General features: G+C 39.8%; 1 protein-coding gene across 21 annotated transcripts in view; it reads right to left on the bottom strand.

The window, feature by feature from the left end:
• Positions 1-4,465: 4,465 nt before the first annotated feature.
• BICD1 (BICD cargo adaptor 1) overlaps positions 4,466-23,911 on the bottom strand; it is a 276,787-nt gene continuing 257,341 nt past the window's right edge. For 9 of the 21 annotated variants that reach the window (NR_148725.2, NM_001413168.1, NM_001354186.2 and 6 more), the window contains 2 exons: positions 20,354-20,429; positions 4,466-10,559 (listed from right to left, as the gene is read on the bottom strand). Coding sequence is in view for 20 of the 21 variants with exons in the window: in NM_001354186.2 (NP_001341115.1) it covers positions 10,472-10,559; positions 20,354-20,429 (164 nt within the window). In the remaining variant the exon portion in view is untranslated. Of the gene's footprint in view, positions 10,560-20,036; positions 20,440-23,911 lie in introns of those variants that run through there. The other 12 variants (NM_001413157.1, NM_001413160.1, NM_001413155.1 and 9 more) reach the window with 6 other exon arrangements.

Genomic DNA, 23,911 nt, shown 5'->3' with positions numbered 1-23,911 from the left:
TGTTACTTTATCCAAAACAAGAAACACTTACTATATATTTTTATATTATCCTTTTTTTACATATAGGGTGGTTTACTACACATGAGCACCCGTATATTCAAAATAAATGGATTTCAATTAGGTAAATAATTTCTTTTTTTATTTATTTGGAATAAAGGTTGATATGAATCACTGATTAATCTTGGACTAATAGCTCTTTTCAGTTAGGCAAATCTTCCTGTGACATTTGACTGACATTATTAATATTTTACAACTTCAAAGGACATCAAACTATAAAAGTATCAGTAGGGTTCTTAAATTAGTTTTACTTTAATATACACTAATTAAAATGTCTACTGTTGCTTTTTTAAAGATTTAAAGATTTTTATAATCTTAGTATGACCTGATACACATATCAGAGTTGTTTAGAAATTTTGAGTTGACATGTTATGGCTACATTGGAATAAGGAAGTATTGCAAGATTCAACTTTAGAACTCATTGATATATTAGCATTAAATATTTTTCCCCAGGACGTAAACACATTAGTATTTTTCCTTCCAAGCACAGAAACTTAGAAGTATATTTTGTTAAAAACAAAGCCCAGTTTCTTTTTTTTTATAACTTTTTTTTTTTTTTTTGGAGACAGTGTCTCACTCTGTCACCCAGGCTGGAGCACAGTGGCACAATCTCAGCTCTCTGCAACTTCTGCTTCCTGGTTTCAAGCCATTCTCTTGCCTCAACCTCCTGAGTAGCTGGGATTACAGGTGCACACCACCAAGTCTGGCTAATTTTTGTATTTTTAGTAGAGACGGGGTTTCACCATGTTGGTCAGGCTGGTCTCAAACTCCTGACCTCGTGATCCACCTGCTTCAGCCTCCCAAAGTGGTGGGATTACAGGCGTGAGCCACAGCGCCTGGTCACCAAAGCCCAGTTTCTGAATAGCTACATTCAGTGTTGAGATCCTGAATCATTATTTCAGCATATTCTGGGGCATGGCTGGCTTCATGGCCTGTGGATCCCTGCAGTCAAACAAAGCCCTGTGCTTAGAAGGACCTCATGTTTGGCCTAATGCATTGCTATCACTGTCTTGAAATTCTTCTTATTTTTTGATCAAGGAGCCCCGCATTTTCATTTTGCACTGGGACTAGCAAATTAGATAAAGCCCATCTTGGGATATGAAACATACATCTATCCTACTATTTATAGTCTTTCACCTGACTTTAGTAGTAACAGAAGCTAACTTACTGAATTATCTTTCTTTTATCCCCTACTGATATAGATAATAAGGAAAATGAGGGGCCGGGGGCGGTGGCTTACACCTGTATTCCAAGCACTTTGGGAGGCCAAGGCAGGTGGATCACCTGACATCAGGAGTTTGGGACCAGGCTGGCCAACATGGTGAAACCCCATCTCTACTAAAAATACAAAAATTAGCTGGGCGTGGTGGCAGGCGCCTGTAGTCCCAGCTACTCCAGAGGCTGAGGTAGGAGAATCGCTTGAACCTGGGAGGTGGAGGTTGCAGTGAGCTGAGATCGCCCCATTGTACTCCAGCCTGAGCAACGAGTGAAACTGAAAACTAAAAACTAAATAAATAAATTAATCTTTAAAAAAAAAAAGGGGGGGCCAGGCGCAGTAGCTCACGTCTGTAATCCCAGCACTTTGAGAGGCCAAGTCGGGTGGATCACGAGGTCAGGAGATTGAGACCATGCTGGTTAACATGGTGAAACCCCATCTCTACTAAAAATACAAAAAAATTAGCTGGGCGTGGTGGCAGGTGCCTGTAGTCCCAGCTACTCAGGAGGCTGAGGCAGGAGAATGGCATGAATCCACGAGGCAGAGCTTGCAGTGAGCCGAGATCGCGCCACTGCACTCCAGGCTGGGCGACAGAGCGAGACTCCATCTCAAAAAAAAAAAAGGAAAAAAGAAAAGAAGGCAACAAGGTATTCTGTAACATTTCTTTACTATTTAACAAGAAGCCACTATATTTATGATTTATTTATCTTTATGTTGCTTCCTACATTCAAATTATATTATAAATTGTTTACTTTTGACACTTGAAATATTTTTCCCAGAGATTTATCTTCCTTGACAGTTATTTTGTGGATTAATTATTCTGAGGGTCTTCTAAAGCATTTAAGTGTACTTGATTCATAAATTAAGAAACTCAACTGGGCATGGTGGCTCATGCCTGTGTAATCCCAGCACTTTGGGAGTCTGTGGCAGGAGGATTGCTTGAGTCTAGGGCTTTCAGACCAGACTGGGCAACATAGGGAGACCTCATCTTTACAAAAAATAAAAAATTAGCTGGGCATGATGGTGTGCACCTGTGGTCCTAGCTACTTGGGAGGCTGCAGTGGGAGGATCAGTTGAGCCTATGAGGTCAGGGCTGCAGTGAACTGTGATCTTGCCAGTGCATTCCAGCCTGGGCAACAGAGCAAGATCTTGTCACACACACAAAAAAAAGAATTCTTAGATTATTTCATCATACATACTTAGCCTCCTATTACAGTGTTAAGAGATCTAGTTTTTAGATTCACTAAGACAGAATGACAGGAATAAGCATTCACTTAATTTAAAGGCCATTTCCCCCAATTAGTTGATATTTAGTGCCTGCTGTAATTATATAAGTAGGTGACATTAGGTTCTGTAAACTCAATTCTGGATGTCTTATGAGAAAGCTAGATGTCAAGAAGCCAAGAAACTCACTTCTCAGGAACAACTACTCTAATTCAAAATTGACTGAGTTCCTACAATGTGCTAGTCAGCATGTGTACGACCAAAAACCAAGAAAATCCTTTCCTGGCTGGGCGAGGTGGCTCATGTCTGTAATCACAACACTTTCAGTGTCTGAGATGAGAGAATTACTTGAGTCTAGGAGCTCAAGACCAGCCTAGGCAACATAGTGGGACCTCATCTGTACAAAAAAATTAAACAATTAGCCAGGCATGGTGGTATATGCCTGTGATCCCAACTACTTGGGAGGCCGAGGTGGCAGAATCATTTGAGCCCAGGGGGTCGAGGCTGCAGTGAGCCAAGATCATCCCACTGCACTCCTGCCTGGGTGGCAGAGTGAGGCCATGTTTCAAAAGAAAAAAAAAATCCGGCTGGGTGCGGTGGCTCACGCCTGTAATCCCAGCACTTTGGGAGGCCGAGGCGGGTGGATCATGAGGTCAGGAGATGAAGACCATCCTGTCCAACATGGTGAAACCCCGTCTCTACTAAAAATACAAAAATTAGCTGGGCATGGTGGTACGTGCCTGTAATCCCAGCTACTCAGGAGGCTGAGGCACGAAAATAGCTTGAACCAGGAAGTCGGAGGTTGCAGTGAGCCAAGATCATGCCACTGCACTCCAGCCTGGGAGACAGAGCAAGACTCCCTCTTTAAAAAAGAAGAAGAAGAAGAAAGAAGGAAGAAGGAAGAAGAGGAAGAGGAAGAAGAGGAGAAGAGAAGGAGAAGGAGAAGAAGAAAGAAGAAGAAAAGAAGAAGAAGAAGAAGAAGAAGAAGAAGAAGAAGAAGAAGAAGAAGAAGACGGAAATCCCTTCCACAAGTTCCCATCGATTCTGCTCTCTTTCTCATCCCTTGTGGGTTGCAATATAGGCTGTCCAAGTTGCCTGCAAAATGTATAGATGAGAAGAGACTTTCTTGATGCGTCCAGCTGTTTTCACTTTTGAATGTGGCAGACTATCAGCTTTATCATGTAAGAGAAAGTCAAGTATCAAATAGACTTATAGATCCAACCTCCAAGAAAAACAAAAGCTTTTGGAAGAGAAAAAGGAGAAATTTGTAGAAAAGTTTACATTATTATTTCTAGTGTTGTATTTATGCAACAGGTGAGCAGACAGCTTTTGCCAGGATGTTGGCTGCCCGTGTTGCACGAATTTGATTAGCTATAATGAGGATTGCATTAGACGTTTTAACTCACTAGAACACCATGTTCTATCTGCCTCTCCCCCTCCTCCACCCTTTAAATAAAATCGAATCAAAGTGGATGGTTCCCAAAGCAGCTGATTTACTACAATATGTATTTGTAGGAGGAGCTAGAAAATTAACCTCCCTCAAAGTTTTGGAACTCTGCTGTTCCAAAAAGAACAAAGAGGAATTGTCTCCCAAAATAATGCATAGAAACTTCATTCTTCTTTCATCAAAATAATGTTTCCTGTTTTAGGGCAAGCATTTTCTTCATGTTGGTACATTTCTAATCAAATTCAGCCAAGTATATCCTCCTGCCAAAATAGCTTTCTAGAAAAGATTACAAGTAGAAGAGGTGATAACTGGAGGAAATGAGCAGAGTTGATACACATTACTTACCAGGAATGTATAGAATTGTTGTTAAAGCAAAGCATTTAGTTTTTAGTTCAAATAAGTTCTTACTTTGAATAAACATATAGATCACATCTGAATTCATATAGTCTTTTCCTTTTTGTAAGTATACATCAAAATGACATACAGAAAAACTGCTCAAATTGATAAAAAGGCAGCATTAATGAAATGAACAAAAAATAACCAGTTTATTTACTGGAAAAAGTTATGCATTACACCATATTCAGTTGGTAACATAAACCGAGATATAAGAATCGATATATTGGCTTCTGGTTATTTTCTTAGCACTGGAGTGCCTTTTCCAACCATTGAGTGCATGATCAGATTACACAAATACAAGCACATATCATGTGTTCTCCCATGAGACATTATTCACTTAGGATTGTCTACAATAAAAAAAGTTAAAGTACAAGCAATAATAAATTCATAAGAATTTTTTGAATTTAAAATAAATGCATGTGTCTTTGAGAACATTTCTTTTGAAATTCATATTTTTAAAAATAACAAGTTTCTTAAATCAGTCTTTTAGTCGTGTTTTCATATGGTATTTATCAGTAGGTGGAAACACTTCACATCATTTAACCCCAAAAGGCATAATAATTAAACTGCAATTAAATGTAGGAACAGTTGAATCATTACAACAATAATACGGTGTACAAATCAGAGTTGGCCACACAATACACATGTTAATACTGGAAAGAAATACAATATCAGAATCATGGATGGTTCATCACATAAGCATAATCATGCAAATAAAAACAGAGTAGATTATAAAAATGTCATAAGAGATTTTCAAATAGTAATTGTTTGACTCTCATAGTCAAACCATTGAGCTTTAACATTTTGTGGGAATAATGTTAAAATGATGTATTTCCTCTAAGACTGGCTGCACAAATCATACCTATGAACCCAATGAGTCATTCTGTATCTCCATTATCTATCATTGAATAATTATTTTTAAATAAAATGATATTTCCCCTTACTTTATAGTTCTCTCATCTTTGTTTTAAAATGACTTTTTAAAAAGAAAAACATATTTACACTAAGAAGCACCAGATTTACTTCTCGGTGTTTTCATTAGAGAACAATGATTGAGGAATAATTCTGAAAGAAAAAAAGTAAAAAATGTGTTCTCAACAAGTGTTCTACAGCAATTAAACTCCAATCACAGGAATAATCTGGCTCAGCAGTTTATCCAGGCTTCAGCTTAAATAGGGCAAATTTTAAATAACTCGAGAAGGGATAAAAATACACTGAGGATTAGAGCCATGCAGTTCAATATGGAAAGGAGACTAGATATAGATAACAATCTCCTTACTTTCCTAATGGACAGAAGATCACAGAGAAATGAGACTTCTATAGTGTTCATCTTATGAATATGGGAAAGCTTACATGATGTGAAATAATTCATGCAAACATTTTACATTGCATATTTCTATGCACTCTCGCCCTTACACTAAAGGCAGTTAATTGCTCTTCTTCTTCTTAAGTAGAATATTCTGGAAAATTCTCAATTGGGGAACATGTCTTAATACTAAATATCTCTTTCAATTACACTTTGAATAATAAGGACGAAAGACATGTCTAGATGAAATCTTTCAGCTGTAAACATAATACGATCAGGTTACAAACGCAATACATTAGGGACTATGGCAGTTAAGTTCGCATATAAATAAAGATGAACTTAATTTTAGACACAACTCATCCGAGGGCATTATTACAGACAATGGAAAATGTCACTCGGGAGCTAGATTGATCTTGTAGTTCCATAGAAGTTGATTTTAAGGTAAAAAAGTACTTGTCAGTATCAGCACTGATCATGCTCTCTGTCATAACCTATCATAACTCCAGTTCAACAGCTTTTTGAAGAATTATGTTCCCTTTACTTGAAAACATACTCTTGTACATTTTTTGCAGCCTTAAATATAAGGGTTACTTAAAAATCACTCTAGTTTATAAACAAACAAAAAAACTGGAGGGCAACCTTTTTAAAATTGTGAACTTTATCCCATAAGTTTCTTTCAAATTTAGTCCTACTTCCTACCTACCATATCAATGTATTTGTGGCAGCCTGAGTTTGAACCCACCACAGTTCCTTACTGGAAATCCATCAGCTTCCCCCAATGTCTCTGAGGGACAGATTGTAACTTTTGGCTGATTGATTATGACAATTATACATTAAAATTGACACTCATCCCAGAAGAAAAGATATTTCATTTCTTCCTTTTCATGTTTTGTGATCTCCATTTGAGACATGTAGAGAACTTTAATTAATACAGAATATCAAGAAATCTCCACATTCTTAGGTTATTGGACCAATGTTTCATGCTTGTTTCAAACAGAAGAACTTATCTGCACAAGGATATTTTCCAAAGCACGAAAAAAGCAAATGTTGTAGACTGAAGATCCTTTTAAATAAAGACGAAATCTGAAATGTGTTTGCCCCCCACTAAGGGATTGCATACCTTCTATTTCTGAAGTATTCCTGAGGACATTGTTTTTTTAGACTCTGACAATTGAATTTTTTTAGTAAAAGTCCTATATTCTGAACAATTTTAAAGATACCATGGAATATAGCTGAAAGAAAAAATAATACCAACGATCATTTTTTTCCAACAAATATCTTGGAAAAATAAAGATTGCCATCCTATTTTCAAATATAAAATATTTTATGATTAACCAGTAAAATTTTAATGTATTTTAAAACTTAAAATAAAAGAATCACAGGATTATGAGCTCCCAGAACTGAAATGCATTCTCCTATCTTGCCACTTAATACTTACTAGACCACCAATGATATTCAATTTTTACAAAACAAATATTCTTTATGATTATCAATTTCCACGTTAATTTCCCAGTGTTAAAAATCTCTTTCCTAGAGTTACTATACATCCTTCACACTGAAGCCTTTTTTATTCTAGACTTAGTAACAATATCTATAGCTGATATCTATCATTTGTTAAATATTCTTTTCTTGAAGACTACTATTGTACCTCCTCTTCGTTAGACTAAAGTATAATTTCTAAATAGGTCTTTTCTTATTTAACAGTTTTCCTTTTTCTCAAAGTTCTCCAAATTATTTTATTAGAATCCAGAGTTGGATATATGAATGGGATCTAATGGATTATGTGTGGACCAGAAAGATTAAGCCAAGCTCCTTTATTTATGCCACTCAGCACTCAGGCCAAAGACAATTTATTGCTTCTTCTTATTTTTTGATTAAGGAAAATCCTCAGGAGAAAAGCATTTCTCCATACTATTCAATATTGTAATTGTGCTTACTTTTAAAAAACTACCTGTTTACTTTGCTAACTACTTTTACTAGTTAGCATTAATCTTTGCTCACTCTGTTTGCAATAATTAGCCAGTATTTTTTAGTGCATTTCTGCTGTTTATTTTTCCTCTCCAAGTATGTCTTCAATTAGTCTTACTGGAGTTCATTCTTTTTGGTTCTCACTAGTTCTGCCCCTTTTCAATTTCCTTTTGAATTCCTGATGTTATCTTTACAGATACTGATTTTTATCAACACTACACATACTGATTCACTTTAAATGCCTATAAATAAATATGGCTCAGTGTAAACTATACTAAATGATGCCACAGTGTAAATACATGGTATTCTCTCTTACTGCTTAGGGACTATCACTTAATTTTGTGCTGAAAATGAGAAATTTATTTCCAAGTTTCTATAACTTCTTGGCAAAGATTCACTAAAATTATTATTTTCATAGAATTAGTATTTCAGAAAAAGACTTTCCCACTCTATGAAGATAAATAACTGAAATGAAACTAGTTTATAATAGACGTAATAATACACTTTGTATTGGAAGAAATGTTTTGTGGGTGACCCGGCTTTTCATGGAGTCCTAGATTCAGAGTTAGGGATAAAGAATGCAAATACAACATTGCCGACTGGCAATACTGCCCCGTCATCACACACAGACAATACTTCCTGCTGAACTCCCAGTCCCACCAAACAAAACCGATGAGACGATCTACGAACATGTTCTGAGGTACTTTTTAAAAAGGCATATATTTCCCTCAGGCACAAACAGTTTTTTATTAAAAGTCAACTTAGCAGCTATGCCACTTCTCAGGTCCAAATACGTGGTGCTTGAGAAAGGGGGAAAAATAAAAAACACAAAGTGAGGGCAGGGGTAAGCTTTCTTTCATTGAACTCTGATAAAATCCACAGTCTCACTAATACTGGTACTAGGCAGATACAACGCCAGTGAAATGAAGACAATGTTTAGGAACAGCAAGGCCATGCAGGTAGAAAAGAGCAGAAGGTTAGGCTGCTATGGTTGGGAACTTCATGTCGAATCGTTTTGTTTCTGTTTCTGTACTTTAACCTGAACCCTTATTTTGGTGAAGATTTCAACTCTTTACTCCACGTTGCATAATAAATGACACTGTGGAAAATAGCACTCATATAAAGAACACAAAACGTCCTGGTTGCTTTGGTAATAGCGACCACTACTTAATAGGCGTATGACTAACGAAAGCTCCTGCAATGTGCTTTACGACTTACCATTTGGTCTCTGATGGACCACTCCATTTCTGTGCCACCCATGTCCGCTCAATAAGCTGAGTGGCTCCTGGATCTCCTTTCTCAGTGCCCTACACTGGTAACTGTCCTTTGTGTTAACAGTGAGGGTCATTTTTGTTTTGAAGAGAAGTTACAGATGTCTTTATATGAAAAGGTCAAACCCTTATGGTTTTAAATAAGTTAAGGCTACCTGACAAAGACAAGGAATCAGGGCTAGGAGCAATTGTGTGGGCAGCACTTGATGGTTAAGGAGCCCGAGAGTGTTAGACCTTTCAGCTCAGTTAGCTGTTTTCCTTGTTTGTCAGATTATGTGCAAAATAAATTTTGCTATGAAAATCCACTGCCTTAAATCAAGTCATAAAAGTTACCCAGCAGAATCTGTAAATTAACCAGGAACATGTATTATCTCAAGATAATAGAATGTTTGTAGGCACCTGAGTGTTTGTCAAAAGTAGACAATGAGCTAAGGTTTATTATCTATTGTTTTTTTGGCAAGGAAGATTCGTTATGAAAAAAACTAACAACAACAAAACATACAATTTTAATCAAACTTTGAACACTCTCTGGGTAAATTAATTAATTAAAGGCTATCTTACATCTATATATGTATATATTTTCCCATTTGTACTTGATACCTTTTATCAGGAAAGACTCAGTAGGACCCTGATTTTGGGAGAAGTAAAAAAAATTCTGGTCATTAAATAAACACACCATTTTTTTCCCTTCAAGTTATTGAGCCTTCTTTAACGTTATCACACACATACACACATACAAAGGAGCAGCACCAGTACATCTACTCAACTGCAATGAAAAAATAAAAGTAAAGATGCCATCAAAACTTGAATAAGTCAATAAATCATAACTTAGTCTCTTTCTTAGATTTACTTAGTAATGTCCAGTGAAGAACTCTAGTTAAAAATACAAAAACAAAACCCAGCAGTTAATGAGCTACTGATTAGAAAGTAAGTGCCTAAACAATACCAGCGTAGCAGCAAAATACAGTTATTGTTAACATTCTGATGCACCTCATTTATCATTTTGTGCAAGAAAAATGACCACAGTCTGGCCAATTCCAGATTTCAAACTAAATTCAAACTCATACTTAATTGAGCAAATTATGCTTATTTGAAAATAAATGAATTAAATTCACCTCAGAGAAATTATTTGTATAGACATAAATCATGTAGCAAATAAAGTACAAAATAAATATCAATGACAAACATATTGGAATCAACTTCCCTAGCTGAATTTGGAGTGTGAGGAAAGATGATACTGCAATATACGTATTTTACATGTCTTAGGTCTCTCTTATGCTATCGAGGTAAAGCCAGCCATCTGAGACACGTTTTCTGTTTCTTTTTTCTTTTTTTTAAATTTAAATGAACTGTAGCCATTTGATGGCAGAAGTTTATCTGTGACTCAGAGAAACCACAAAATGTTTTATCACATCAGGGTCTGTGCTTCGTGTTCTTCTCAACTTTCTCTCGTCTTCCAAAACGATGGACATTAATCCAATTGTACATCTAACAACCGAGAAGAAAACACCCGCTGGATCTTGGGCAGTATCCTGTGTGTGGCTACAAAACTTCCACCCCAGATGTTCGTCCACAGGAGATGAAGACTAGGGGTGAGGAGGCTTGGAGAGACAGTGGAGAGGGGCGCACTGGGAGCTGGAATGTGGCTGCTCCTCAGGGAGAGCTGTGTCAGGACTGGAAAGGAGAAACAAGCACGTCAGCAAGAAACACATTTCAAAGGGCCAGGCACAATGGTAGGGGTTAGACGAGATATTTTTGCATAGATTTTGAGAACAAGAACAGAAATCTGCACAGTAAATGGTTTCCATCTAAAGCATGCCAAGATAATGGTAGCTTTTCAAAACAAGGCATAAAAAAGAAAAATGAAATGTATTAAGGAAATGATATATGCACTCTTCCCTCAAAGTCACTCTTCTCTTTTCTTGTTTTCCCTATTTTCTTGCCCCCAGCATTTTACAGAAGTTCTTCTCAATTTTTGCACGGTCTTGTTCTCCTAGGTCTCTGTGTTAGCTGTAAGATTTCATGAGATCAGTTCTTTTCAAACTTTAATATGCATGCAAATTACCTGGGGAGCTCAGTATAAAGGGCAGATTCGGATTCATTAGGTGTGGGGTGAGATCTGAGATTCTACATTTTTAATGAGCTCCCAGTGATGCTGATGGTACTGACAGGTTGACCAAGGCTTTGGAGTTTAGAGGATTCTATAGTTATCTGGTAGATCCAGATTCACTAGGATAAAGAATTTGCCTGTGGAAGTCTAATTTGCTCTAAGAATTCCCCCTACCTGCTTGGGCTTGGAGGTATAAGGAAGAGTTTTATATTTCACCCCCCCCCCCCTTTTTTTTTTAGATGGAGTCTCGTTGTTTTGCCCAGGCTGGTGTGCAGTGGCTCCATCTCAGCTCACTGCAGCCTCCGCCTCCCGAGTTCAAGCGATTCTCCTGCCTCAGCCTCCCGAGCAGCTGGGATTACATGCATGCACTACCATGCCCTGCCAATTTTTGTATTTTCAGTAGTGATGGGGTTTTGCTATGTTGGCCAGGCTGGTCTCGAACTCCTGACCTCTGGTGATCCACCTGCCTCGGCCTCCCCAAGTGTTGGGATTACAGGCGTGAGCCACCGAGCCCAGCCTAACATTTCCCATTTGTTAAGTGTATAATGTAACTTTCCAAACGACGCCTGTGATAGCCTCTAGTTTAAATGAACCTGTGCTCAGGCCTATCAGGGTCTGGATGAATAATCTTGAAGAATAAAGAAGCAAAATCATTGAGTTTCCTAGGGTAAAATGACAAAACACATTTGGGTTTGGGCCTTTTAAAATTTGACTAGCGGCCGGGCGCGGTGGCTCACACCTGTAATCCCAGCACTTTGGGAGGCCAAGGCAGGAGGATTATGAGGTCAAGAGATTGAGACCATCCTGGCCAACATGGTGAAACCCTGTCTCTACTAAAAATACAAAAAAAAAATTAGCTGGGTATGGTGGCGTGTGCCTGTAGTCCCAGCTATTCGGGAGGCTGAGGCAGGAGAATCACTTGAACATGGGAGGCAGAGGTTGCAGCGAGCCAAGATGGCGCCACTGTACTCCAGTTTGGCAACAGGGCGAGACTCCGTCTCAAAAAAAAAAAAAAAATGTGACTAGCAATGGGGGAATCACAACATGGAGATTTGTTTTTTTAATTAGAAAAGAGTATTTTTCTAAAACTCTGTTATATTCCCTTAAACTATGAAAGTCAGTACTATATAATTCATTTCTACCAGAAGTGATGTTTGAGAGAACAATTCAAGGCTCATTATTACTATTAATTTAAGCATAGCTTTTTAAAGCTAATTAAAATTAGCTTTAAATTTAATGGAGTTTAAAATGTAATGGAGTCATTAAAATTAGTATTAAATAATTTTTATCTTTGGTACTGAAATTATCCTCTACCTATATCTCTTGCATTTTAATACAAAATCATAATTATGGAAAATATCTGACTGGCTTGAGGTTATTCTTTCTTCCCAAACTCTTTGAAGTGCTGTAAATATAGTTTAAAAGAAGCTTTGCTGTTCTGTACTGGTTAAGACAAGCAGTGATAAAAATTGTTTTTCCTACCTATTTTTAAAATGTGGTATGTAAACATGGGAGAACTGGACCTTCAACAAAAAGCCTAAGAAAATAGCGCATAGTTTCATTTGTAAATTTTTTTGATATGGAATCTCACTGTCGCCCAGGCAGGAGTGCAGTGGCACGATCTCGGCTCACTGCAACCTCTGCCTCCTGGGTTCAAGCAATTCTCCTGCTTCAGCCTCCCGAGTAGCTGGGATTACAAGGGCCCACCACCGCGTCCGGCTAATTTTTTGTATTTTTAGTAGAGACGGACTTTCACCATTTTGGCCAGGCTGGTCTCGAACTCCTGACTTCAAGTGATCTGCCCACCTCGGCCTCTCAAAGTGCTGAGATTACACACACGAGCCACCGTGCCCGGCCTCATTTATAAATTGGAAAATAAGCCTGGGCGCGGTGGCGCACGCCTGTAATCCCAGCACTTCAGGAGGCCAAGGCGGGCGGATCATGAGCTCAGGAGATAGAGACCATCCTGGCCAACATGGTGAAACCCCGTCTCTACTAAAAATAATTAAAAAAAAAAATTAGCTGGGCGTGGTGGCGGGCGCCTGTAGTCCCAGCTACTCCGGAGGCTGAGGTAGGAGAATGGCGTGAACCCGGGAGGCGGAGCTTGCAGTGAGCCGAGATCGCGCCATTGCACTCCAGCCTGGACGACAGAGCGAGACTCCGTCTCAAAAAAAAAAAAAAAAAAAAAAAAAAGGAAAATAAATGAAGAAAATCTTAGGCCAAGCATAGTGGCTCACGCCTGCAATCCCAGCACTTTGGGAGGCCGAGGCAGGCGGATCACCTGTGGTTGGGAGTTCAAGACCATCCTGACCAACATGGAGAAACCCTGTCTCTACTAAAAATACAAAAAAAAAAAAAAAAAAAAAAAATTAGCCGGGCGTGGTGGCACATGCCTGTAATCCCAGCTACTCAGGAGGCTGAGGCAGGAGAATCGCTTGAACCCGGGAGGCAGACGTTGCGGTGAGCTGAGATCACGCCATTGCACTCCAGCCTGGGTAACAAGAGCAAAACTCCGTCTCAAAAAAAAAAAAAAAAGAAGAAAGAAAAGAAAATATTTAAAACAGAAAATAATGTATGGCAAGATTCACACTTGACCCTCCAAACAGAGTTTGACGGCCTGGTAAACAGCAGGTTATAGGCCAGACTTTCCCATCGACCTAACAGTTTTTCTGCAAATATGCATGACTTAGACTGCTGACTTCCACAGCACATATAGTAAAAAAAACTCCAATTTTACTATACGTGCTGTGGAAGTCAGCACCAGAACTAATTTCTTTTTAGGGAACTAAACATATTATGCAATGTGATTTATGGCAAGTAATGCAGAATCGTCACATTACACAAGAAAGATATGGCTTTTTTTTCTTTTCTTTTCTTTTCTTTTTTTTTTTGAGCAGAATCTCACTTTGTCGCCCAGGCTGGAGTGCAGTGGCACGATCCCAGCTCACTGCAACCTCTGCCTCCCAGGTTCAAGCAATTCTAGTGCCTCAGCCTCCTGAGTAGCTGGGATTACAGGCCTGCGCCACCACACCTGGCTAATTTTTGTATTTTTAGTAGAGACAGAGTTTCACCATGTTGCCCAGGCTGGTCTCGAACTCCTGACCTCAAGTGATCAGCCTGCCTCTGCTTCCCAAAGCGCAAGGATTACAGGCATGAGCCACTGTGTCCACCCAAGAAAGATATGTTTTTGAAGACCTTGTGTAATCCAATACTTTTTTTTTTTTTTGAGACAGTCTCAAACTGTCGCCCAGCCTGGAGTGCACTGGCGCGATCTTGGCTCACTGCCACCTCCACCTTCCGGGTTCAAGTGATTCTCCTGTCTCAGCCTCCCGAGTAGCTGGGACTACAGGCACATGCCACAACACCTGGCTAATTTTTTGTATTTTTTTTTTTTTAGTAGAGACGGGGTTTCACTGTGTTAGCCATGACAGTCTCGAACTCCTGACCTTGTGATCCACCCGCCTCAGCCTCCCAAAGTGTTGGGATTACAGGCGTGAGCCGCTGCACCTGGCCCCAATACTCTTTTTGATAAAGGAAGACAAATATTTCTTCCTGACCAGCTGAAGTGTGTAGCTATAGCTTAAATATGGGTTACAACTCACTTTGCCTAACACCTTGACATTACATCATTCGTGATGATTTAAATTTTTTTCATTCCTTTAGATAGATTTCTTACATAAAGTTATTATCTATAGTATTAATATTTTTAATTTGCATAAAATGCTGCAATCACATGGTGTATATTATGTGTAAATTAACCTGTAAGACACACATTCTTGGCTTACAGGTTAAGATACTATTTCTTGGATATAAATATTTGATAAATTATAATCATTTAAGGCATAGAATGAATTCAGTTTCAGTTGTGATTGCTAAATATTTTCAAGAGTCCACTTGTTATTCAACATTTACCATTGATTTTACTTTACATAGGTAGATCATGTTGTAAATGGCAAGTTTAGGAAGCTGTTACTAAGATATAAAATTGGATACATCTTCAGGAAGTTTCTTTTTTTTTCCCAAGTAGAAAACTACTTGATAGAAGGGAAGTGCTAAATACCAAACAACTCTATATATTTCAATATTATATCCAAGGCTATATACCTTGGGCATTCCTTTCATATTATAATACCTATTATCTATAAACAATTTTGATAATTTAGCTCTACAATGGAATTAGCCTGTAAAAAGTATACATGGAAAAGTTCTACTTTTTTTCTGTTTTTGGAGACAGGGTCCTCTTCTGCCACCCAGGCCGGAGCGCAGTGGCACAATCTCGGCTCACTGCTGCCTTGAACTCCTAGGCTGAAACGATCCTCCCACCGCAGCCTCCTGAGTAGCTGGGACTACAGATGCAGGCCACCATGCCTAATTCTTGTATTTTGTTTTAAAGGACAGGGTTTCACCAAGTTGCCTAGGCTGATCTAGAAATCCTGGGCTCAAGCAATCTTCCCACCTCAGCCTTCCAAAGTGCTGGGACTACAGAGGTGAGTCACCATGTCCGGCTGAAAAGTTCTACATTGTTAAAGGTGAGAAAATGCTCTTTTATTAAAAAATCATTCACCTTAAAAGCTGTTTGAATATATGTATAAACCGAGGGAAGTACAAAATAATTTTTTTTTTAAGATGGAGTCTCACTCTGTTGCCCAAGCTGGAGTTGTCCAAGCGTGATCTTGGTTCACTGCAACCTCCGCCTCCCTGTTCCAAGTGATTCTCCTGCCTCAGCCTCCTGAGGAGCTGGGATTACAGGTGCCTGCCACCATGCCTGGCTAATTTCTGTATTTTTAGTAGAGATGCCGTTTCACCATATTGGCCAGGCTGGTCTCGAACTCCTGACCTCAGGTGATCTGCCCACCTTGGCCTCCCAAAGTGCTGGGATTACAGGCATGAGCCACTGGGCCCAGCACTCAAAATCATTTTTCAAAATGAGAAACAGAACACCTGATGTGAAATAACTCAACATTCTTAGCACATCTTCTGTTTCTCATTAAACAAACATTCCTCTTCAGTTTGAGGGAAAAGGAATCATGGTGGGTGATTTACATACTCTGACTTTGCTCCTCACAGTGTAACTGAAATAGATTTCTCCTCTGCAGTGCAGCCACCTGTGGTGGTAGGTAGGAGTCACTAGGCTCAGTTGTGTTCAGGATATGTGACCTTGAACAAGTCATTTTACCTTCCCAAACCTCAATTTCGTCACATAAAAATGGGTGTAAGACCAGGTGTGGTGGCTCATGCTTGTAACCCCAGTACTTTAGGAGGCTGAGGCAGGCAGATCACTGGAGGTCAGGAGTTCAAGGGCAGCCTGGCCAACATGGTGAAACCCTGTCTCTACTAAAAATACAAAAATTAGCTGGGTGTGGTGGCACACACCTGTAATCCCAGCTACTCGGGTGGCTGAGGCAGAAGAATTGCTTGAACCCAGGAGGTGGAGGTGCCAGTGAGCCAAGATCACGCCACTGCACTCCAGCCTGGGCAACAGAGGGAGACTCTGTCTCAAACAAAAACAAAAACAAACAAAAAAACGCCAAAAAACTAAACCAAACAAACAAAAACAACAACAAAAATGGGTGTAATAACTGTGCTTATCCCTTATGGAAGGCTGTAATGTTTAATATGTGTAAAGAAATGAACCCTTGTCTGGTTTATACTAAGAATTCGAATGTTGGCTATGTGTTAACTTTTCTGCCAAGAAGGAGTAAAAAGGGCAATGAAGGTATTAACATTGACCCATTTGGCAGTGTGTATGGGTGGGAAAAGAGTCAGTCATCATCCCAGCAATTTTGGAAAAGAGTCTTTTCAGATCTATATGCATTTAATCATTTCTTTACGTAGACCACGATGGGGAACAGTAGTAGAATTGGGCTCTAGACCAGGCTGTATTCATGTGGGTAGAAACTGGAAACATTTGAGAAGCTGGAAATGTTTGTAATTCATTAAATTGCTTTTCTTTAAAGTAAATCATCCCTGTGGTAGTAGTAAGCAACCTAAATTTATTAATCTCAGAACAGATGGAACTAGACTACATAATTGTTTAGTCAAACTGGTTCTCAAAAAACAAGCAAGGTGGAAAAAAAAAAGTTAAAAAAATCTCCTGCCAGCCTTTCCATTTCCTACTTAATGGAAACACTTCAAGCAGTAGTCTTCTGAGGCAGGAAGGTTGCTCGAGCCCAGGGTTCAAGTCCAGTTTGGGCAACATAGCCAGACCCAATCTCTGAAGCAAACAAAACAGCAGCCCGCTCCACGCTTTCTTCAGCAAATTAGAGAGGTTAAGAGATTGCAGATCTTTGTCTTGAGGAATGGTAAGATACTAAAAAAGTATTGATAACAGATACTGAGCAGACACTCCAAGCCAGGAGCGTGCCTCGCTGAATTCCCTCAGTATCTATTGTCATCTGAACTTTACAAGTGAAGAAATGGAATCTTAGCCAGCAAAAGAAATTTTCCAAAGTTAAACAACCAGTGGGTATTAGAAGTGGGAATTCAACCCAAGCAATCTGATTCCAGAGCTCATTCACTCTCTCAGGTATAATCAATATTTAGTGCACAGCTGTCATGTGCCCAGCACTGACCCAGGCCTTGGGGTAAGGGCTGGGGGTGCTTGGTGGAGAATGGACTGTAGGTGAAGAGCCCTGTTCTTAACCGCTACAAATTCAGAATCCCACTGAGACGAGTTTGAATATTTATATTGTTACTTATATAATTGAGATAAATCTATAATTACATTATTTCTTTTTTTTTTTTCTTTTTTGCTCTGTCGCCAGGCTGTAATGCAGTGGCGTGATCTCAGCTCACTGCAACCTCCGCCTCCCAGGTTCAAGTGATTCTCCTGCCTCAGCCTCCCGAGAACCTGAGATTACAGGCGCACATCACCATGCCCAGCTAATTTTTGTATTTTTAGTAGAGACGGGGTTTCACCATGTTGGCCAAGGTGGTCTCGATCTCTTGACCTTGTGATCCACCGGCCTTGGCCTCCCAAAGTGCTGGGATTACAGGCCTGCGCCACCACGCCTGACCTATCATTATTATTTCTAACCGAAATTAGTGCTGTTGTAAAATGGCATTAGCGAAAAACCTTTCTTAAAGCCCTGTTGCTGAAGGTGGTGGGAACAATCAACTAACACACACCAATTGGAAACTGCTGGCTAGCAACCTATTTTATAATGTATTTTTCTTTTTATTTATTTATTTGTTTTTTGAGACAGGGTCTCACTCTGTTACCCAGGCTGGAGTGCAGTGATGCAATCACAGCTTGCTGCAGTCTTGACCTCCCGAGCTCAAGTGACCCTCCAACCTCAGCTTCCCAAATAGCTGGGACTACAGCCATGTGCCATTATACCTGGCTAATTTAAAAAAAAAAAAATTTGGTAGAGGTCGGGGGTGGAGGTCTCCCTGTGTTCCCCAGGCTGGTCTTGAAGTTCTGGGTTCAAGCCATCCTCCCGCCTCAGCCTCCCAAACTGCTGGGATTACAGGCGTAAGCCACCACACCTGGCCAATAATGTACCTTTCTGTGCTAACTCAATGTTCCACTGATACAGCTGGCTGCACAACCGCCTCTGAGACCATGTGACACTTGGGCTTCAGCTGCCACTGTGTTTCCACACTTGTGGCACCCCAGGTCCCCTGGCTCTGACCCCTGACCACATGTAGCTTGCTACTGACATCTACTCCTCAGACACACATGGAAAGTGTTTGGGCCTGCCCCTGCTCAAAAGAAGCCTTCCCCTGGTAGAAGGGCAACAGCTGTGATAAGGAGAGAACACTGAGCAGATGATGAAAACCACAACCGGACTACTGAGGTCTGGCACCATCAGAGGCCAGGTGGCTGGAGATGAAGCATTCCAGGATGGAGGTGAGGTCCTGATGGAACGCTGAGACGCTGTGTGGAGGTTCACCAGGATGGAGGGCAATTCATGACTGATTTGGAAAGCTTTCCTTTGGAATCGGAATTGTCAGCAAACTCTCCAGTTCAGTGTTCAGGACTGTGCAAACCTGTTTTAACAATTTTTCAAGTAATCTCACATAAAGGTCACTGTCACAGCAAATATTATCTTTTGAATGCTAACTACAATGTTTTTCTCCACCTTTCAAATTCAGTTTTACCAAGGCTACTGAGTGGACAGAGAACAGAAACACAGAAACACTTTTATACAGCTGTTCTATCTGTCTGTCTATCTATCTATTTATCTAGAGACAGGGTCTTGCTCTGTTACCCAGGCTGGAGTGCAGTGATGTGATTTTACTCACTGTAACCACAAATTCATGGACTCAAGCAATCCTCCTGCCTCAGCCTCCCAAAGTGCTGAGATTACCAGCATGAGCCACTGCACCCAGCCTTTATATCTAATTCTTTATATTCTTCCTGTTTGTTGGCCTGAGATATATATTTTTTAATTTTTTATTTTTTTTTAGATGGAATCTCTCTCTGTCACCTAGGCTGGAGTGCAGTGGCACCAGCTCAGCTCACTGCAACCTCCACCTCCTGGGTTCAAGTGATTCTCCTGCCTCAGCCTCCTGAGTAGGTGGGATTAGAGGCATGTGCCACCACACCCAGCTAATTTTTGTATTTTTAGTAGAGACGGGGTTTCACCATGTTGCCCAGGCTGGTCTCAAACTCCTGACCTCAGGTAATCCCTCTGCCTCGGCCTTCCACAGTGCTGGGATTACGGGTGTGAGCCATCATGCCTGGCCTATTTAAACACTTTAAGTTTTATTTTACTGTGTTTTTTGTTTTGTTTTGTTTTTTAGCAACAGGTTCTTACTCACCAGGCAGGTGTGCAGTGGTATCATAGCTCGCTGCAGCCTTGAACTCCCAGGCTCAAGCGATTGATCCTCCTACCTCAGCCTCCTGAGTAGCGGGGATTTTATTTTTTTAAATTGACAAATAATAATTGTACATATTCATGGAGTATATAGTGATGTTTTAATACATATAAAGTACAGGAATCAAATCAGGTCAATTAGTATATTGGTATCCCTCAGATTCCCCAGGAAAATAAATATATTTTAAAGACAAAAGAAAATAAAAAGTAGGACAAACATCATAACAATTCCAGCTTTTATTTTTTGGAAAGGAATGAAACAGTGGACTAATCCAAGTATTTACACAGACAAAGGGGCTGAAGGCAGCCTGTAGAGTCTACCAGCTGGCAGCCAGCAAAATAAACCCCAGCTCTCTTGTATTCCTACTGGGAACGCAGGGACTGCAGGTGTCCAATGTGTGTCTATGTAGCCCACACTTGAAATAAAATACAGCAAAATACAATGATGCGTAGGCAGTTCAGGTGTCGGAAAGGGGAGCTGGGGTCTATGGATCTGACATGCAGCTGGGTGGAAGGGAAAGGACATCTGAATTTACCTGACAGTTGGGCAGTCTTGCCTCCCGGCTAGTTGTGAGCACTGTGGCGGTACGGAGGCAGCAGGCTGCTGACAATCTACAAGAAACTGATAAATTAGACATGTGTACAAAGAGATGACAGAGCAAGGTGTTAGTAACAGTGACTAAAGCAGCTGCCTGAGAGATTTAGTGAGGAATGTGCATTCACACAGAAATATCCTGATTCAGCTTTTTTTTTTTCTTCTTGAATGATGCCAATAGAAAAGACAGGCTTTTTTTTTTTTCTTAAATACAGTATTAAAAAATTAGTGACACAGCATTAGTAGCGAGATTTCTCAAGTACATTAGGATATATGTGGCCATTTGTCTTTGGTATTTTGTTATATCTAAAAATAAAGGGTCTATTAATATAATGAAAGATCTTCCAATTCTAAACCTGAATGTGGTGGTGGTTACTTGCTTAGCACTTAGATCTCTTATTCCAAAATGGAACGCATTCAGATAACTGACTTTACTATCAGGACACATGGACATATTGTCAGTCCCATAGGTAACTTGAGAAAAGTGTGCAATATAATCTTTTCTATGATTAGTAGAATCTTAATTAAACAAGGAAATAATCTTTACAGTTTTCTGAAAATTGATTTTATATATTGACAATAGAATTGTTGGCAGAAATCTTAGAATGTCTATTACATAGTAAATTGTTAGTGACTTGGACTAGAAAGCTAACCTGAATGAGAACTCCACTTTGTAATTGTTTTTACCATTTTAAAGTCACAATATAACACACTAGGTTAATAAAGTGCTAGCTAGTAAAAATCAAGCTTTAGCTGGGTTAATCATCTACTCCAAGAAAGTAGTGCCTGGTGTTCTAAAAAAAAATCAAAGAGCAGTCTGTTTACTGGTACTAGGTGACTATATTAGAATCATGCAAGAAGCTGGTTAGAAATGCATATACGTCATATTTCTCCAAAAAGATTTTTGCAAACAAGTTAAAATTGGAATTAAACTTAAAAATTATTCTTAAATAATTGAAGCATTTCCTCTTGCCAACTGCTTAGACTGTATTTGCTTAGCAAATCCCTTTCCTTATATGTGTTTGTTTGTTTGTTTATTTGAGACAGAGTTTTGCTCTTGTTGCCCAGGCTGGAGTGCAATGGTGCAATCTCAGCTCACTGCAACCTCCGCCTCCTGGGTTCAGGCGATTCTCCTGCCTCAGCCTCCCGAGGTGATTCTCCTGCCTCAGCCTCCCAAGGAGCAGGGATTACAGGCATGTGCCACCACACCCGGCTAATTTTGTATTTTTAGTAGAGACAGGGTTTCACCATATTGGTCAGGCTGGTCTTGAACTCCTGACCTCAGGTGATCCACCTGCCTCGGCCTCCCAAAGTGCTGGGATTACAGGCGTGAGCCACTGCACCCGGCCTCCTTATATGTTATGTAAATAATATTTAATCCACATTATCACAAAGTCTGGATTTATAGCCTTAACGAGGCTCTACTGATATTTACATTTGAAGTCTTCTATTTAAGTATCACTGTTATATTCTGTTATAAAAAAGCCTGCCTATATAGTTACATAACTCCAGAATTTAAAATTCGAAAAAACTGCTGATGCTTTTCCAGAAATACACTAAAACTGTTTGTGATGCAAAGTAGAATACAATATAAGGCAGGCTTGATTTTTGTTCACTCAAGAAAACATTACTGAAGGAACCCTTTTATATGGTGGTCTTTGTTGCCATCTTATTAATTAGCGCATCTTAATAGGAACAAGGAGATCTGATTTTTGTTTAGTAGCTGGTGTTCGGATGATCATACTCAGTAAAAATCTTTCAAATATAACAAATCTGTTTTCTCAGATTGAGGAAATTCCTTTTTTAACTCCGTTTTCCCATTTTGCAGCATTGATTAGCTCCAGATTCCCTTTTGTAGAAACTCAGAGTCTTAAGGAATGCATTCTTTTGTCTTTTAAAAATCTTTGCTCCTTTTGTCTTCTCCAACAGCTTTCCTGCCTATCTGAGTGGTAATTTAGGAATGTCTTAGACTAATTTGACAACTATTTTGATAAGGCCACCAGACAGGCAGTTAAGTCAACCAGGTGTGTGCTGCCCTCCGATGGTGTATTTGGGTAAATGCAATGGATGTAAAAACCACTCTGGATTCCTTATGTCTTACATTGCCAGGGAGGTATAATGAAACTCTTCTAAAGCAGAGTAGTGGCCTCTGTGGAATAGCGATCCTTAGAATTAGAGTAACTAGAGTATTAAAATGGCTTACATCTTTTAAAAATATCTCATATATTTGACTTTGTTTTGCCAATACAGTCACAGATTATTATTCATTCAAAATATAATTTATGGTAAAATTCAGACAGCAGGTGATCAGAACCACAGTGTACTCCCTTAATGAAATGCTAGAGAGGTGGTAGACATTCTTCTTATTTGTAGTGAATATCACTTTTTCCTTCATTAGAAGTAACATCATCTCTGGCTAATATTTATTTTTTATTTTATTTTATTTTTGAGACAAGAGTTTTGCTCTTGTTGCCCAGGCTGGAGTGCAATGGCACAATCTCGGCTCACTGCAATCTCCGCCTCCTGGGTTCATGCAATTCTCCTGCCTCAGCCTCCCGAGTAGTTGGGATTACAAGCGTGCGCCACCACGCCCAGCTAATTGTTTGTATTTTTAGTAGAGACGGGGTTTCACCGTGTTAACCAGGCTGGTCTCTAACTCCTGACTTCGGGTGATCCACCCACCTTGGCCTCTCAGAGTGCTGGGATTACAGGTGTGAGCCACTGCACTCGGCCTATTTATTTAGTTTTTGAGACAGGATGTCATGCTGTTGCCTAGGTGGCTATCATAGCTCACTTCAGCATCCAACGCCTGGGCTCAAGTGATCCTCCTGCCTCAGCCTCTTGAGTAGCTGGGACCACAGGCACACACCACCACACCCTGCTAATTTTTTAAATTTTTGTAGAGACAGGTTCTAGCTATTTTGCCTAGGCTGGTCTTGAACTCCGGGCCTCAAGCAGTCTTCCTGCCTCGGCCTCCCAAGATGTGGGGATTGTAGGTGTGAGCCACTGCTCCTAGCCAAGCTAATGATGATTATTTTTCATTTATTATTTATAAGCACTTAGCTACGTGTTATCCTTAAAGAATAAAAAACAAATTTCATAGATAAAATGGTGATGGACTTAAAAAATTAAACTAAAATGTAGCTACATTGCTCTGACTCAGTTGTCTTCTAAATCCCTCTTCTCGGGTCTACAGCCCTCCAGTTGTGTCAATTGTAGCCTGGCTGAGCCACGGATGTGTCTTAGGATGTACTTTGTAAAATGAAGGAGGTAGGTTGGGAGGCTGAGGAAGTCCCTTGTAGCTCTGAGATGCTGCAGGCTCTGAGTGATCTCCCCTGCTCCGTCTAGGATCTATTCTGCTAGGCTCACCCTTGAAGGAACTAGACCACATCTCGTTGCTTTGGGGGGAATAAAAGATGACAACTATGTGCATGAAGGAGCAGGCATTGTAGAACCCACAAAGCCATTGCTGTTGTTTGGCCACCAGGGTTTGTCTAAA

This window comes from Homo sapiens, chromosome 12 (genome assembly GCF_000001405.40).
Source record: "Homo sapiens chromosome 12, GRCh38.p14 Primary Assembly".
NCBI classification, from domain to species: domain Eukaryota; kingdom Metazoa; phylum Chordata; class Mammalia; order Primates; family Hominidae; genus Homo; species Homo sapiens.
Note: the sequence above shows the minus strand (reverse complement) of the source record. Positions and strands in the feature narration are given on the sequence as shown.